Here is a 17,831-nt window from a genome sequence, read left to right on the forward strand (position 1 = left end):
GGCCCAGAAGCAACCTCTGGTAATGTATTGGTATCCTTCCAGAGCTCTTTTCAATGCATATATAGTACATCCTCCCATATTATAAATCTATGGCTATTAGTCTATAGTCATGTGCTGTGTAACAACGTTTCCATCAATGACAGACTGCATCTAGGAAGGTGGTCCCATAAGATTATAATGGAGCTGAACATTTTCTGTTACCTAGTGGCATCATAGTTGTAGTATGTTGTAGCACAACACATTACTTGCATGCCCTTAGTGATGGTGGTGTAAACAAATCTATTGCACTGTTAGTCATATAAAAGCATAGCACATACAATTATGTACAGCATACAATGCTTGATAGTAATAAGTGACTTTGTTATTGTGTTTATTATACTATACCTTTTATTTTTATTTTAGAGTGTTCTCTTTCTACTTATGTATTTTTTAAAAAGTTAACTGTAAAACATCCTCAGGCGTGTCCTTCAGGAGGTATTCCAGAAGGTGTTGTTGTCATAGGAGGTGACAGCTCCATGCACGTTACTGCCCGCCTCTCCCTGCGAGGTAAGACATAGAGATGGAAGACAGTGATACTGGTGATCATGCATGTTACTGCCCCCGTCTCCCTGCGAGGTAAGACATAGAGATGGAAGACAGTGATATTGATGATCCTGACCCTGTGTAGACCTGGGCTAGTATGTGTGTTTGTGTCTTTGTTTTTAATGAAAAGTTTAAAAACTAAAAATAAAAATTGTTAAAAATAGAGAAAAACGTATAGACTAAGAATATAAAGAAAGAAAATATGTTTGTACAGTTAGACAATGTGTTTTAGACTAAGTGTTATTACAAAGGAATCACAAAGTTTAAAAAAAATTAAAATATTTTTAAACTAAAAATGTTACAGGAAGCTAAGTTTAATTTATTATTGAAGAAAGAAAAAATGTGGCCGGGCACAATGGCTCACTTCTGTAATCCCAGAGCTGTGGGAGGCTGAGGCGGGTGGATCACGAGGTCACGAGATCGAGACCAGCCTGGCCGACATGATGAAACCCCCGTCCCTACCAAAAATATAAAAAATTAGCCGGGCGTGGTAGCGCGCACCTGTAATCCCAGCTACTCAGGAGGCTGAGGCAGGAGAATTGCTTGAGCCCAGGAGGTGGAGGTTGCAGTGAGCCGAGATTGTGCCACTGCACTCCAGCCTGGGCAACAAAACAAGACTCTGTCTCAAAAAAAAAAAAGTTTAATAGATTTAGTGTAGCCTAAGTGTACAGTGTTTATAACGTCTACAGTAGTGTAGAGCAATGTCCTAAGGCCTTCACATTCACTCACTCAATCATTGACTCTCCCACAGCAACTTCTAGTTCTGCAAGCTCCATATACAAGCATAGCATTTTTATCTTTTGTATCATATTTTTACTGTAACTTAACATTGTATTACAATAGCCAGCAGTATTTAGTACAGTAACATGCTGTACAGGTTTGTGGCCTAGGAGCAATAAACTATAGCCTGGGTCTGGAAGGCTATAACATCTAGGTTTGTGTAAGCACAATCCGATATTTACACAATGACAACATCACCTAATGACACATTTCTCAGAACACATCCCCATCATTGTTAAGCGGCACATGATTGTATTTTAATATAGTCTCTGAAAGTGGCAGTGCTCTGGGAACACTTATATATAAGGTCGCCAATATCTGGTATGAATGAGTGAGTTTGTCAAAGTGTTTTTACCATTGACTGAAAAGATCTACAGAACCTGAAACTCAAGAGTCATCAGGGGCAAATGGAAAACATTTTTGAGAAGGAGGAAATGAAGCTCAACTTTACCCATTTTAAAATTGAGGCTGGGCGCAGTGGCTCACGCCTGTAATCTCAGCACTTTGGAAGGCCAAGGCTGGTGGATCACCTGAGGTCAGGAGTTCCAGACCAGTCTGGCCAACATGGTGAAATCCCATGTCTATAAAAATACAAAAATTAGCCGGGCGTGGTGGCGAACATCTGTAATCCCAGCTACTTGGAAGGCTGAATCACTTGAACCTGGAAGGCGGAAGTTGCAGTGAGCCGAGATCGCACCACTGCACTACAGCCTGGGCGACAAGAGCAAAACTCTATCTCAAAAAATAATAAAAAATAAAATAAAATAAATGGAGCCACAGCTGGCCTTGATGATGAACATCAAGTCAGTATGGCTTAGTGCAGAATCCTAATAACAATGGTCCTGTCTTGCTAAAGAAGTAAAGCAAGCAAAGACCCCATAATATTACCTGCATTTATATGTAAGAAGAAGGACAAAGAGGTTTTTTTTTTTTCTCAAAAGTTGTTTTAAGATTCATAGGCATCCAGCTTTCACTTTTAAAATTAATGTTAACTTGTTTCCACAAAAAGTGTGAGGAAATGAGTCAGGAAACAGTAAAAGGGCGGAGTGGGAGAGTGGGGGAGAGAGAGAAAAGAGACAGAGAGAGAGAGAGAGAGAGAAACTCATCTGAGGAATAAGGCAGGGTGATTACGTCTGAGTGGTTTTACTATCCTACGCCTGGATTTCCTGAGACGGAAAATTCCAGGAATAGGAGCTGCCTTGAGAGCTTCCTATTGGCATTCTTTCCTATTAATTTGGCTTTTCGCAAGTTATTAGGCAACTTAAGCTGTTTAACTTTAACAATGTTCTGTTTTTCTGTGGTTTCTGGATTATGTAATACCTAACCAAAGAATAAACAACCAAAGAAAATAACTTTTACTTCATACTTTGGCAAGTGTATTCAAAAGGCAAAGATCTAGATCTGAGAAACAGTTTGGTAAAAGTTAAGGTGCAATCAGAAAACTAAGTGTCACAGAAATGAACTTATTGGCCACTCAGGGAGGTTTTCAAGGTGATATATTTTCAGTGAAATGAATCATACATGTTTGTACGGTCACTGGTCAAAGTGAAGGTTACTCGGTAGAAAAGCAATGTTGTTTTGATTGTACTAGTCTGATGGTGAGAATGCCCCTGAATTCAAATTAAAGAAATGTTTATTGCTGGTGCCTACAGCACTGATATATGACTTTGTTTTGCAGTTGAACTCAGGTCACCTTTCTTGCTATTGGGAACTTATTTTTCAACCCAGAAGATAAAAGAACAGATGATTTAACTGATATTAAATAGAGGCTCTTATTACCTTTTGTGTGGTCACATTTTGACCTGAATTGAACCTATGAGAAATGTAAACAAAACTGTATATACGTTTAAATGTGAAGTGAATTCTTCAGGCAGAAAGCACAAGGTTATAGCCATAATGTAGAAGAAAAAACAATAAAAAGGCAACCCCAAAGCAGGTACCACCCTCATAACTGGTTTGATTTATGTGATCTTGGAGATGATTGCCACATATAAAATGCAGATAATAATAAATATTTATCTACCTGCCTCATGGAGACTCACACGAAGTACTGATGGGCGCTACTTTCACAGTAATTTGCCTTCTTTTCACCTTAACCTTGCTAAGCGTTATGCTAAGTGCATTGTATTTTATATCTATTCTTCTCAACTATTCTGCAACCTGAGTGTCCTCTCTCTCCTCTCTCTTTCTCTTTTTTTCCTCTCTTTCTCTCTCTGTCTCTCTCATAGAAGAAGAAATTAAAACTCAGAGACTATAAGTAATTTTTTTCAAGGTGTAAGTGAATGATTGGAGATCACAAGACTGAGAACAATAGACTATTCTTTATGAGGAAATACAGGCTTTGGATTGATTCTCTTTTCATTTGGTTATTTTATCTGACAAAATTCAGATGAAAAAGCAGACAGACTTACTTTTTCACCTTAAATCATTTTTTTTACTAGGAAATGTTAAAAGAAAAATCATTGCTAAAAATAAGAATAATACTTTTTGCATTCATTTAAAGGCTTTTCTAGTTTGTACAATACTTTCTTAAACGTAATCCCTGCTGGAATGCTTTCTAATTTTTTACCTTTAGCTCCTAGCAAATGTGAATTTGTTTTTTGTTGTTGTTGTAAGACCCAACAAAGCAAATTAAAATATTAAGAAGAAATATACAGAAGTGAACCTCTACCACACCACCTTAGACAATTGGCCAAAGTCAGCAACACCAGCAAAGGTACGAATCAACATCATGTGCCTCCTAGCACGCTGCACTGAGCAGAGCACAACACTTGAATGATATTCCTGACAAAGGTTGTATAACCTCAATTTAACGGTCTGACAACCCCAAATTGAGGGACATTCTAGTAAATGAGTCATCTGTACTCTTCAAAAATGTCCATATCATGAAACACGGTAAGACTGAGGAAATGTTTGAGAATAATGGAGACTAAAAGGCCGTGACAGCTGAATGTAGTGCCTGATCCAAGACTTTCATCTGTTATAAAGACCATTATTGGAATAATTGGCTAGATCTGAATAAGGTCTGTATATCAGATAGTAGAATTAGATCAATGTTAATGTCTTGATTTGATTATTGTTGCATGGTTATATTAAAGAATATACTAAAGTATTTAAGTACTAAAGGGTACCATGCCTGCAACTTATTCTCAAAGAATTCAGAAAATGTATTGAGAAAGAAAAAAAAAAGCAAGCAACGCAGTAAAATGTTAATATTTGGGTAATTCCAGATGGAGAGCACTCAGGAATTCTTAGTAATAATCTTGCAACTTCTCTGTAAGACAGAAATTGTGTAAATTTTTCTTTTTTTTTTGAGATGGAGTTTTGCTCTTGTTGCACTGGAGTGCAAGTGCACAATCTCGGCTCACTGCAACCTCCACCTCCCGGGTTCAAGCGATTCTCCTGCCTGAGTAGCTGGGATTACAGGCGTGCACCACCATGCCCAGCTAATGTTTGCATTTTTAGTAGAGACGGGGTTTTCACCATGTTGGCCAGGCTGGTCTCGAACTCCTGACCTCAGGTGATCTACCCACCTCAGCCTCCCAAAGTGCTGAGATTACAAGTTTGAGCCACCGTGCCTGGCCGGGCCTCTTTATAACTATTGTGCTCATGGTAAATATAGAATGTATAAATTAAGGCAAATAAAACATTCATGTTACAGGCATGCGCCTCCATGCCCAGCTAATTTTTATATTTCTAGTAGAGACGGGGTTTCGCCTGTTGGTCAGGCTGGTCTGAACTCCTGACCTCATGATCTGCCCACCTCAGCCTCCCAAAGTGCTGGGATTACAGGCATGAGCCACTGCACCCAGTCTGTGTAAAAATTTTTTAAAAACCTTCTTAAGGTGCCTATATGCAAATTTATCTTTTTATTTTTATTTTATTTTATTTTATTTTTGAGACGGAGTCTCGCTCTGTCACCCAGGCTGGAGTGCAGTGGTGCGGTCTCCGCTCAATGCAAGCTCCACCTCCCGGGTTCATTTCATTCTCCTGCCTCAGCCTCCCGAGTAGCTGGGGCCACAGGCACCCACCACCACGCGCAGCTAATTTTTTGTATTTTTAGTAGAGACGGGGTTTCCCTGTGTTAGCCAGGATGGTCTCGATCTCCTGACCTTGTGATCCACCTGCCTCGGCATCCCAAAGTTCTGGGATTACAGGCTTAAGCCACCGCACCCAGCCTATTTTTAATATTTTTAAATTCTTAATTTTTAAATTTTTGTGGGTACACAGTAGGTGTATATACTTATGGGGTACATGAGATGTTTTGATACAGGTATGCAATGTGTAATAAGCACATCATGGAGAATGGGGTATCCATCCCCTCAAGCATTTATCCTTTGTATTACAATCAACCCAGTTACACTCTTTTCCTTATTTTTAAATGTACAGTTATTATTGACTATAGTGGTCCTGTTGTGCTATCAAATAGTAGATCTTATTCATTGACTCTAACTATGTTTTGGACCCATTAACCATACCCATCTCCCCCACCCCACCCCCAAGTCCCAACTACCCTCTGAGCCTCTGGTAAGCATCCTTCTTCTATGTCTGTGAGTTCAATTGTTTTGATTTTTAGATCCCACAAGTAAGCAAGAACATGAAATGTTTGTCTTTTTGTGCCTGGCTTATTTCACTTAACATAATAATCTCCAGTCCGTTCATGCTGCTGCAAATGACAAGATCTCATTCTTTTTTGTGATGGAACAGTACTCCATTGTGAATATGTACTACATTTTCTTTTAACTTTTAAGTTCAGGGGTATATGTGCAGGATGTGCAGGTTTGTTACATAGGTAAATGTGTGTCATAAGGATTTGTTGTACAGATTATTTCATCACTCTGGAATTAAGTCTAGTATCCATTAGTTATTTTTCCTGATCCTCTCCCTTCTCCCACCCTCCACCCTCTGATAGGCCCCAGTGTGTATTGTTCCCCTCTATGTGGGTCCATGTGTTGTCATCATTTAGTTTCCATTTATAAGTGAGAACATGCAGTATTTGGTTTTCTGTTCCTGTGTTAGTTTGCTAAAGATAATGGCCTCCAGCTCCATCCATGTTCCTGCGAAGAGCATGAGTTCATCCCTTTTTATGGCTGCATAGTATTCCATTGTCTACATGTACCACATTTTCTTTATTTGGTCTATCACTGATGGGCATTTGGGATGATTCTATGTCTTTGCTATTGTGAATGGTGCTGCAATGAACATACACTCATTCGTGTATCTTTATAGTAGAACAATTTATAATTATTTTTTGAGACAGAATCTCACTCTGTTGCCCAGGCTGGAGTGCAATGTTGTGATCTCATCTCACTGCAACCTCCGCCTCCCAGGTTCAAGTGATTCTCCTGCCTCAGTCTCCCAAGTATCTGGGATTACAGGCATGTGCCACCATGCCCGGCTAATTTTGTATTTTTAGTAGAGATGGGGTTTCTCCATGTTGGTCAGGCTGGTCTTGAACTCCCGACCTCAGGTGATACACCTGCCTTGGCCTCCCAAAGTGCTGGGATTACAGGAGTGAGCCACCACTCCCAGCCAACAATTTATATTTCTTTGGGTATATACCCAGTAATGGAATTGCTGGGTCAAATGGTATTTCTAACTTTATGTTTTTGAGGAATCACCACACTGTCTTCCACAATGATTGAACTAATTTATACTCCCACCAACAGAGTATAAGCATTCCTTTTTCTCCACAACCTTGCCAGCATCCATTATTTTTTGACTTTTTAATAATAGCCATTCTGACTGGTGTGTGATGGTATCTCATTATAGTTGTGATTTGCATTTCTCTAATGTTCAGCGATGTTGAATTTTTCTTCATATGCCTTTTTGGCCACATGTATGTCTTCTTTTGAGAAGTGTCTGTTTATGTCCCTTGCCCACTTGTTATTGAGGGTTTTTTTTCTTGTAAATTTAAGTTCCTTATAGATGCTGGATGTTAGACCTTTCTCAGATGCATAGTTTGCAAAAATTTTCTCTCATTCTGTAGGTTGTCTGTTTGCCCTGTTGATAGTTTCTTTTGCTATGCAGAGCTCTTAAGCTTAATTAGATCCCATTTGCCCATTTTTGCTTTTGTTGCAATTGTTTTTGGCATCTTCATCATGAAATCTTTTCCCATGCCTATGTCCTGGATGGTATTGTTTAGGTTATCTTCCAGAGTTTTTACAATTTTGGGTTTTACATTTAAGTCTTCAATCCATCTTGAGTTGATTTTTGTACATAGTGTAAGGAAGGGGCCCAGTTCCAATTTTCTGCATATGGCTATCAAGTTATCCCAGCACCATTTATTGAATAGTGTGTCCTTTCCCCATTGCTTGTTTTGTCAGCTTTGTCGGAGATCTGATGGTTGTAGGTGTGCAGCCTTATTTCTTTGTTATCTATTCTATTCCCTTGGTCTATGTGTCTGTTCTTGTACTAGTACCATGCTGCCATGCTGTTTTGGTTACTGTAGCCCTGTAGTATAGTTTGAAGTCAGGTAGCATGATGTGTCCAGCTTTGTTCTTTTTGCTTAGTATTGCCTTGGCTAATCAGGCCATTTTTTGTTTTATATGAATTTTAAAATAGATTTTCTAGTTCTGTGAAGAATGTCAATGGTCGTTTAATGGGAATAGCATTGAATCTATAAATTGCTTTGGGCAGTATGGCCATCTTAACAATATTGCTTCTTCCTATTCTTCCTTTTCCATCTGTCAGTTTTACCTCTAATTTCTTTGAGCAGTGGTTTGTAGTTCTCCCTGTATAGATCTTTCACTTCCTTTTACATTTTCTTTACCCATTCATCTGTTGATAGACTCTTAGGCTGCTTCCAAATCTTAATTATTGTGAACTGTGCTGCAACAAACATGGGAGTGCAGAGATCTCTTCAACATACTGATTTCCTTTCTTTTGAGTATATACCTAGCAATGGGATTGCTCTATTGTTGTTATTGCTATGTTATGATAGCTCTATTTAGTTTTTTGAGGAACCTCCAAACTGTTCTCCATAGTGGTTGTACTAATTTACATTCCCACCAACATTGCATGAGGGTTCCCTTTTCTCCACATCCTCACTAGCGTTTGTTACTGCGTGTCTTTTGGCTACAAGCCATTTTAACTTACAGTGAGATGATATCTCACTGTAGTTTTGATTTGAATTTCTCTGGTGATCAATAATGCTGAGCACCTTTTCATATTCCTGTTTGCCATTCATGAGTCTTCTAAGTAATGTCTATTCAAATCTTTTGCCCATTTTTTGATTGGATTATTGGATTTTTTTCCTATAGAGTTGTTTGAGTTCCTTATGTATTCTGGTTATTAATCCTTTGTCAGAGTGGTAGTTTGCAAATATTCTCTCCCATTCTGTAGGTTGTCTGTTTACTTTGTTCATTGTTTCCTTTGCTGTGCAGAAGCTTTTTAACTTGGTGTGATCTCACTTGTTCATTTTTGCTTTGATTGCATGTGCTTGTGGAGTATTGCTCAATAAATCTTTGCCCAGACCAATGTCATGGAGATTTCCCCCAGTGTTTTCTTGTAGTAGCTTCATAGTTTGAGGTCTTAGATTTAAGTCTTTAATCCATTTTGAATTGATTTTTGTATGTGGCGAGAGATAGGGGTCTAGTTTCACTCTTCTGCATATGGTTATCCAGTTTTCCAAGCACCATTCATTGAAGAAACAGTCTTTTCCCCAGTGTACGTTCTTGGCACCTTTGTTAAAAATGAGTTCACAGTAGCTGTGTGGATTTGCTTCTAGGTTATTGATTCTGTTTCATTGATCTATGTGTCTGTTTTTATGCCAATACCATGCTTGTTTTGGTTACTGTAGCTCTGTAGTATAATTTCAAGTAAAGTATGGTGATTTCTTCAGTTTTGTTATTTTTGCTTGGGATAGTGATATGGTTTGAATCTGTATCTGCACCCAGGTCTCAGGTTGAACTGTGATCCCAGTGTTGGAGGTGAAGTATAGCAAGAGGTGAGTGGGTCATGGGGGCAGATTTCCCCCTTGCTGTTCTCATGATAGTGAATGAGTTCTCTCGAAATACGGTTGTTTAAAAGTGTGTAGCACCTCCCTCACTTTTTCCTGCTTCAGCCATATAAGACATGTTTGATTCCTCTTCACCTTCCACCATGACTGAAACTTTCCTGAGCTCTCCCAAGAAGCCTCTATGCTTCCTGTATAGCCTGCAGAACCATGAGCCAATTTAACTTATTTACTTTATAAATTACCAAGTCTCAGGTCTTTCTTTACAGCAGTGCAAGAATGAACTAATACAGATAGCTTTGGTTATTCTGGGTCTCTTATGGTTTTGTACAAATTTTAGAATAGTTTTTTCTATTTCTATGAAGAATGCCATTGGTATTTTGATAGGGATTGCATTAAATCTGTACATTGCTCTGGACAGTATGGACATTTTAACAATGTTGATTCTTCCAATCCATGAACATGGAACATTTTTTCATTTTTTGGTAATTTCTTCAATTTCCACATTAGTATTTTACAGTTTTCATCATAGAGACCTTCCACTTCTTTGGCTAAGCAAATTTCTAGGTATTTAATTTTAATTTTATTTGTGAGTATTGTCAATGAGATTACTTTTTAAATTTCTTTTCCAAATTGTTCACTGTTGGCATATATAAATGCTACTGATTTTCATAAGTTGCTTTTGTATCCTGCAAATTTACTGAATTTGTTTATCGGTTCTAATACTTTTTTTTTTTTTCAGACGGAGTCTCGCTCTGTCGCCCAAGCTGGAGTGCAGTGGCGCCATCTCGGCTCACTGCAAGCTCCGCCTCCCGGGTTCACGCCATTCTCCTAGCTCAGCCTCGCGAGTAGCTGGGACCACAGGTGCCCACCACCATGCCCGGCTAATTTTTTTGTATTTTTTAGTAGAGACGGGGTTTCACGGTGTTAGTCAGGATGGTCTCAATCTCCTGACCTTATGATCTGCCCCCCTCGGCCTCCCAAAGTGCTGGATTACAGGCATGAGCCTCCACCGCACCTGGCCTTTTTGTGTTATCTTTAGGCTTTTCAAAATATAAGATCATATCATCTGCAAACAGAATAATTTGACTTCTTCCTTTCCAATTTGGATGCCCTTTATTTCTTTCTCCTGTCTGATTGCTCTAACTAGGACTTCCAGTACTGTGTTGAATAACAGTGGAGAAAGCGAGCATCCTTATCGTGTTCCAGATCTTAGAGGAAAGGCTTTCAGCTTTTCCCTCTTCAGAATGATACTAGCTGAGGGTCTATCATATATGGCTTTTATTATGTTGAGGGATGTTCCTTCTATACACAATTTTTTGAGGGTTTTTATAATGAAGGGATGTTGAATTTCATCAAATGTTTCTTCAGCATCAGTTGAAATGATCATATGGCTTTTATCCTTCATTCTGTTGATATGATGTATTACATTGATTGATTTGTGTATATTGAACCATCCTTGCATCCCTGGGATGAGCTGCACTTGGTGATGATGAATAATCTTTCTAATGTATTGTTGAATTTGATTTGCTATTATTTTGTTGAGGATTTTTGCATCAATGTTCATCAGAGATATTGGCTTGTAATTTCCTTTTCTTGATGTGTTTTTTTTTCTGGTTTTGGTACGAAGGTAATACTGGTCTCACAGAATGGGTTTAGAAGTGTTCCTTCCTCTTCTATTTTTTCAGAATAGCTTGAGTAGGATTGGTATTAGGTCTTCTTAAAATGTTTGGTAGAATTCAGCAGTGGAACCATCAGGTCCTGGGCTTTTCTTTCCTGGGAGACTTTTTATTATGGCTTCTGCAAAGTTATCTTTGAAAGCTTACCTGTCTTATGTGTCTTGAACTGTCCTAGACCCAGAAATGGAATTGGCTATTTTTCCAAGAAGCTCTGGTTTGTTTTTGTGGAATGATAACATTATAAACGTTATTATGAGTAAAAAGCATACACAGTGTGTCCCATCTGCAATTCTATCATTAGTAAACTATTTAGTAGATAGTTCTAGAATATATATTTTTTCTCTTAAAGTCGTGAGTTTATATAAATATTTCTAATTCAGTTATGTTATTGTGTTCTTCCTTGTTTTCTATGATTGTACTTCCATTTCTCTTATACTGAAAATCTTGATTTTTAACAAAAGAAACATTATGCTTATTTGTTTTACATAACAATAAAAATAAAATAGTTCTGAAAAAATAAAACAATTAGTACAAACAATGAGATGATAGGATGAAGTCCAAGGTTTTCTATTTTTTTTTTCCTTTCTGTCCTTAGAATGCAGGCTACTATAGATATATGGTCAACTTATTTTGGTCTAAAGTCACTTACTAGTCTTCATTTCTGTGTTCTATAGAAATGAGTATCTAATATATGATTGTTTCTATTTCTTTTTAATTTGAGGTTGGTAATATTCTTACAAATGACTGTTCTCAGGTTTTAGAAGCTTCTAGTCTTTCTTCAGAGGAGGGCTAAAGTCCCATAGAAGATAGGAGGGAAAAAAAGTCAGCTACTGAATCTCCACAATTCTTTGTGTTTCATTTAAGCACCAATTGATCCCTCATCAGTAACTAAATGAATGGCATATGTAAGATTTACATGCATGAGCTAGGCAAGCAAATTATACCTTCTACTATTCAATAATCTTAAAATATATCAATATTAATATTTAAGCTTCTGTGAAAAATATTTTTAAATCTATAAAACAAAGATTACCTCACATATAAAGACAAAGCCTGTTACCAGTTATACTTATTTAAATTTCAGTGTCAGTGTTTCCTGCTAGGTTCAGATGCTTTCATTCAAATATAAGCAATCGGCCAGTATGGTGGCTCATGCCTATAATCCTAACACTTTAGGAGGCTGAGGCAGGAAGGAGGATCTCTTGAGCCCAGGAATTCCAGGCTGCAGTGAGTTATAATCAGGCCACTGCACTCCAGCTTTGGTGACACAGCAAGACTCTGTCTCTTAAAAACAATAATAAAATAAATAAATAAATAAATAAATATATACAAGCAATTACTTTATCCTCTGCCTTTTGCAATCTAGCCTTACTCTGAGGACACAGCTACTTCATGTTGACCTATTTCCAATTTCCAGCTATGGAGATCAAATGTCCTGGATACTGAGCCCCAGATATTGATATTGAGTGGGCCCCCCTAAGGTTTTTGGGGTGTTAGAGATAGTGCCTTGAGGACTCAATCTTATTATGAGGCAACATGATTGATGGGATCCTGGCATCTTCTGGGATAGTGAATGGGGAGGTTCATGAGGATTCAGCGCAGGGAGTTTTAGGGGATTTCATGGGCAGAAGAGGAGGGAAGCCTAATTGACTAGGGAATTTATGCCCCTGTCAAAGGAGTGTGGTAGGGAGAGACATCAAAGGGTATCTTGAGGTCATTTTCCAGAGAGGTTTTACAGGTAATTAAGGAGGCTTCTTAAGACTTTTTTTCTTAAAGTTCTCAATGAGGTCTTGAGTATTTGGTAGTAAGCCTCATCTCTATCTCTCTCAACTACACACACAGGCAACACACACAGACACACCCACACACACACACACCCATAAATTCATCTAGGCAAGAAGAGCATTTTCCATTATTTTCCTTAGATATTTCAAGGTCAGTGAAAAGAAAACTACAGTTTGAGGTCATCTGTGCCTTTGGTATTCCAAACTCTAAAATAGTTCACAAATTGTTAGCCGCACTGCCTACATTGGCTGCAGGGTGAATCCATTAGCCATGGAGACTGACACACTGCAAGGGGCTGGATTTATGCATTCCCTCTTCTCCTCTTGCTGTAAGTAAACAATGTACCAGTTGAGCTTGATATGCATATTGTCTGTTCTCAGAGACCTCAAGTCATGCACTGGTCCTTCCCTGGACAGCATTTATTTGACTTTTAACCTTGGCCACATTCATGTTATAGTTTACCCTGCACACAGCCTGACCATCCAGTGGAGGGTGAAACATATTTGGTACAGTGAGCAGGGTCTCTGAGAAGACACCTTTTCATGGCATAGTGGAAGTGAGACCCCATCCAGGGTGGTGCTGGCTCCTGGAGATATTGAAGGTGATAAAGCTCTCAATAAGGCCTAGATACATTTTGATCTGCCAACAGAGGTAAATGGGATAGTGAGAATAGCCCTGAGAACCTTGATGAATTAACTAGAGGGATGTGGGCAAAAATTAAGGAGGTGGGAAAGTCCAAAACCAAACAATCTCCTGGTTACTGAGTCGCTGCCTTTGTGCTGCCAGCCTGGGGCCACCTTGGTCTAAACCACCCCCTGACCAGTTACCCCCAGTCTTTACCTAGCAGTACATTAATGACAGCATTGCCAATGTTGCCCAAGTTAAAATAAGAAGTTTCTCTGAGATTGAGCTGGATAAGAAGAAACAGCAATATGACCAAAAGCCCAGCGAATTCATACCTTCCTGGACTCTGCACTTGATTGATGAGGGAGCAACCCAGACTCTCTTCTCCTGTAATGAGTGAAGCCTGGACCAGATGAGAGAGGATGGGATTAATTGTTATAATGGATCTTTGCCCACATTGAATAGGCCAACTCCTCAGGATTGGACAGGTGACAAACCAATCTGGTGACAAACCAATCTGCTTGAAACCTGGTGATCTTCCTAAATTGAAACAATTCTAGAAAGACTTTCAAGCACCCTTTGACTTGGTGAGAGCCCCAGGAGCCTCCTCTATGGCTCTATCAATCCAGAAGGGGATTTAGATGATGTACCACTGCTTGACAGCAAATACACGACTTAATAAAATGGGGGCATCCAACAGGTGGGCTCCATTAACCCTCTTAGTCTCCCTAGGAATGACTACGGGGGACATCGTTGGAAAACTGTACCATAATGTGCCCATGTGGGGCGCTGCCAAAAACACAGCCACAGTGGTGAGTGGTGGCTACTCCCTCATCACATAGCAAATGGAGCTCCAAACCACCATCAGGAGCCCACTAAAAGATAAAAGGAGCCACAGAAAAGGAAGGCCTCAGGCTGCCCTGGACCCAAGGGAAGAGTCGTGTGGCTATGGCTGTTAAGCATGGTGGCTGCTTAAGCATGGTGGCTAAGGAAGAGACAGATGGGATCCCTATTGAACAACTGAGGGATCAGTATGAGCTGAGGGAGGAAACTGAAATCTTTTGTTTTTATTTTAAATTTTTATTTTATTTTTTTCTCTTTTTCTTTGTTTTTTATATTTTTTTATTTTAATTGTTGTGGGTACATAGTAGGCGTACATATTTATGGGGTATGTGGGATGTTTTGATATAGGCATGCAATGCATAATAATCTCATCATGAAAGATGTGGTACCCATCCCCTCAAGCATTTATGGATCTTGAGACTTTTTTGAAGGTTATCACGTTCCTCTTTTTTTCTTCTTCAACTTTTATTTTAAGTTCAGGGGTACATGTGCAGGATGTGCAGGTTTGTCACATAGGTAAACGTGTGCCATGGTGGTTTGCCGCACAGATCGACCCATTATCTAGGTATTAAGCCCAGCATCCATTAGCTATTCTCCCTGATGCCCTCCCTTCCCTACCCCGACAGGCCCCATTGTGTGTTGTTCCCTGCCATGTGTCCATGTATTCACATTGTTCAGCTCCTACTTATAAGTGAGTACAGGTGGTGTTTGGCTTTCTGTTCCTGCATTAGTTTGCTGAGAATAACGGTTTCCAGCTCCATTCATGTCCCTGCAAAGGACATGATCCTATTCCTTTTTATGGCTGCATAGTATTCCATGATGTATATGCACCATAGTTTCTTTAACTAGTCTATCATTGATGGGCATTTGTGTTGAATCTATGTCTTTGCTATTGTGAATAGTGTTGCAATAAACATACATGTGCATATATCTTTATAATATTAATAGAATTATTTATATTCCTTTGGGTATATACCCAATAATGGGATTGCTGGGTCAAATGGTATTTTTGCCTCTAGATCTTTGAAGAATCACCACATTTTTCAAAATGGTTGAACGAATTTACACTCCTACCAACAGTGTAAAAGCATTCCTTTTTCTCTGCAACCTTGCCAAATCTGTTGTTTCTTGATTTTTTAATAATCGCCATTCTGACTGGCATGAGATGGTATTTCATTGTCATTTTGCTTTGCATTTCTGTAATGAATCCTGAGATTTTTTTTTTTTTGAGACGGAGTCTCGCTCTGTCACCCAGGCTGGAGTGCAGTGGCACAATCTTGGCTCACTGCAAGCTCTGCCTCCTGGGTTCATGCCATTCTCCTGCCTCAGCCTCCTGAGTTGCTAGGGCTACAGATGCCTGCCACCACGCCTGGCTAATTTTTTGTATTTTTATTAAAGACAGGGTTTCACCGTGTTAGCCAGGATGGTCTCGATCTCCTGACCTCGTGATCCGCCCGCCTCGGCCTGAAGTGGGAGCTGAACAATGCGAACACATGGACACATGGCAGGGAACAACACACACTGGGGCCTGTCAGGGGATGGGGAAGGGAGGGCATCAGGGAGAATAGCTAATGGATGCTGGGCTTAATACCTAGGTGATGGGTTGATCTGTGCAGCAGATCCCAAAGTTCTGGGATTACAGGCATGAGCCACTAGCGCCCAGCCCAAATCCTGAGATCTTAATGTTAAACGATTGGTTCAAGCAATTGAACCGCAAGAGGAATGCTTGTTAGACTGAGTTGATTTTGCTGACTGGTTCTCTGCCCTGAGTGTTCCCACCAACACTTGAAGGGTTCAAAACAGCAGAGGCATTGGTGGGTGCCAGAGAGAAACTACTTGAAAAGGAACCACTTCCACCATTATATCCTGAGCTAACATCTTTGGAGAAGACAGACTAAAGATGGGGCCAAGATTTGGGGCCACCAGTGGGAACTGAACGCCTGTGCCCTAGTTTGAGAGGCAGGGGAAAAGGGTACTACACAAACTATTATGAGTCTCTTGAACACTGGGGACACTGGGGTCACTGTCATTTCCAGTTGTGGGCAAGAATGACAGGTGACACTGCGAGATTCAAAACTAACACTGTCACATGGAAAGTTGCCATGCACTTAATTGTGGATTCCTCTAGCACCTTTACCATGGCCAGGGATTGTAGTTCCCACTGCTAAATGTACAATACTTATATAAAGTTTGGCCTCCTGTACACAAGGCACCCATCGTGATTCTGGGGTTGCACCCCACCAAATGGTTTCATTTGGATGAGCGTCATGGGATACGTCCTGTTCATGTGTTGTTTTCCTGACCTTCTCTACATCTTCCTCTAGTTCTCTGAGCATCTTTAAGACCGTTGTTTTTATGTCTGGTAGATTCACCAGCCATCAGGTCTTTTCAAGGAAGTTTCTGTTGATTTCTTTTTTTCCTTTGAATGGTCCATGCTTTACTGCTTCTTTGTATACTGATACAGTTTGGCTCTGTGTCTCCACCCAAATCTCATCTTGTAGCTCCCATAATTCCCATGTGTTATGAGAGGGACCCGATGGGAGATGACTGAATCAACAGGGGTGGGTCTTTCCTGTGCTGTTCTTTTGACAGTGAATGGGACTCACAAGATCTCATGGTTTTAAAAACGGGAGTTTCCCTGCACAAGTTATTTTTTTGCCTGCTGCCTTCCACGTAAGATGTGACTTGCTCCACCTTGCCTTCCGCCATGATCGTAAGGCCTCCCCAGCCATTTGGAACTGTAAGTCTAAGAAGCCTCTTTCTTTCGTAAATTGCTGAATCTCAGGTATGTCTTTATCAACAGCATGAAAATGGACCAATACATATACCTTGTGATTTTTTTGTTCAAAACTGAACATTTGGGTCTAGTAATGTGATAACTTTAAAAATCAGATTCTCTCCCTTCCCAGGACTTGCCGAGTTTTGTTTTGGGGTTGGTTTTTGTGGGGTGGTTGTAGGCTATCTGTGTGCTGAGCATTAGCCTGAGGTGCAAACGTAAGGTCTTCTCAAGTGTTTTCTGAGTCTGTACCCCTTTCCCCGGGTTTATGTGGTGACTTAATTTCAAATGTCCTAGTCCTTAATGTCTGACCCTCCAGAAAAGAAAGGAGAAAAATGAAAGTGGGGAAAAAGCACTTGCCTTTCAAATTTCCTGGAAGTCACTAGAGGGTGGGGGAAGTGGGGTCGGTGGGGGAGGGGGGCAACAATAAGAGAACATGCAACAGTGGTTTCCTTTTTCTGTACTTCTATGTTTAGAAGCAACAATTTAGAGCACAGATCCCCAATAATTAGAGTACAGCATTCCTTTGTCCACACTGGGCAAAGCTATGTGTAAGCTACTCCAGGATCATCTGCACAGCTGCCTGCCAAGCCGCTGAGGGTAAGGGATGGCTACAGCTGACAATGACTGAAACTAACTGCAATTTACAACCTGATATTGTTTGGCTCTGTGTCCCCAGACAAATCGAATCTTGAATTATAATCCCTATTTGTGTTGAGGGAGGAACATGTAATTCCCACATGTCAAGGGAGGGAGGTGAATGGATCATGGGGGTGGTTTCCCCCATGCTGTTCTCATGATAATG

At 39.9% G+C, this 17,831-nt stretch overlaps 1 long non-coding RNA gene across 1 annotated transcript in view; it reads right to left on the reverse strand.

Moving 5' to 3' along the window:
* Positions 1-370: 370 nt before the first annotated feature.
* LINC02068 (long intergenic non-protein coding RNA 2068) overlaps positions 371-17,831 on the reverse strand; it is a 34,707-nt gene continuing 17,246 nt past the window's right edge. Inside the window, exons 3-4 of the long non-coding RNA NR_146714.1 lie at positions 13,743-13,810; positions 371-539 (exon numbers count right to left, since the gene is read on the reverse strand). This is a non-coding gene — a long non-coding RNA (long intergenic non-protein coding RNA 2068). The remainder of the gene's footprint in view (positions 540-13,742; positions 13,811-17,831) is intronic.

The sequence above is a fragment of the Homo sapiens genome, chromosome 3 (assembly GCF_000001405.40).
Source record: "Homo sapiens chromosome 3, GRCh38.p14 Primary Assembly".
In the NCBI taxonomy this organism is placed as follows: domain Eukaryota; kingdom Metazoa; phylum Chordata; class Mammalia; order Primates; family Hominidae; genus Homo; species Homo sapiens.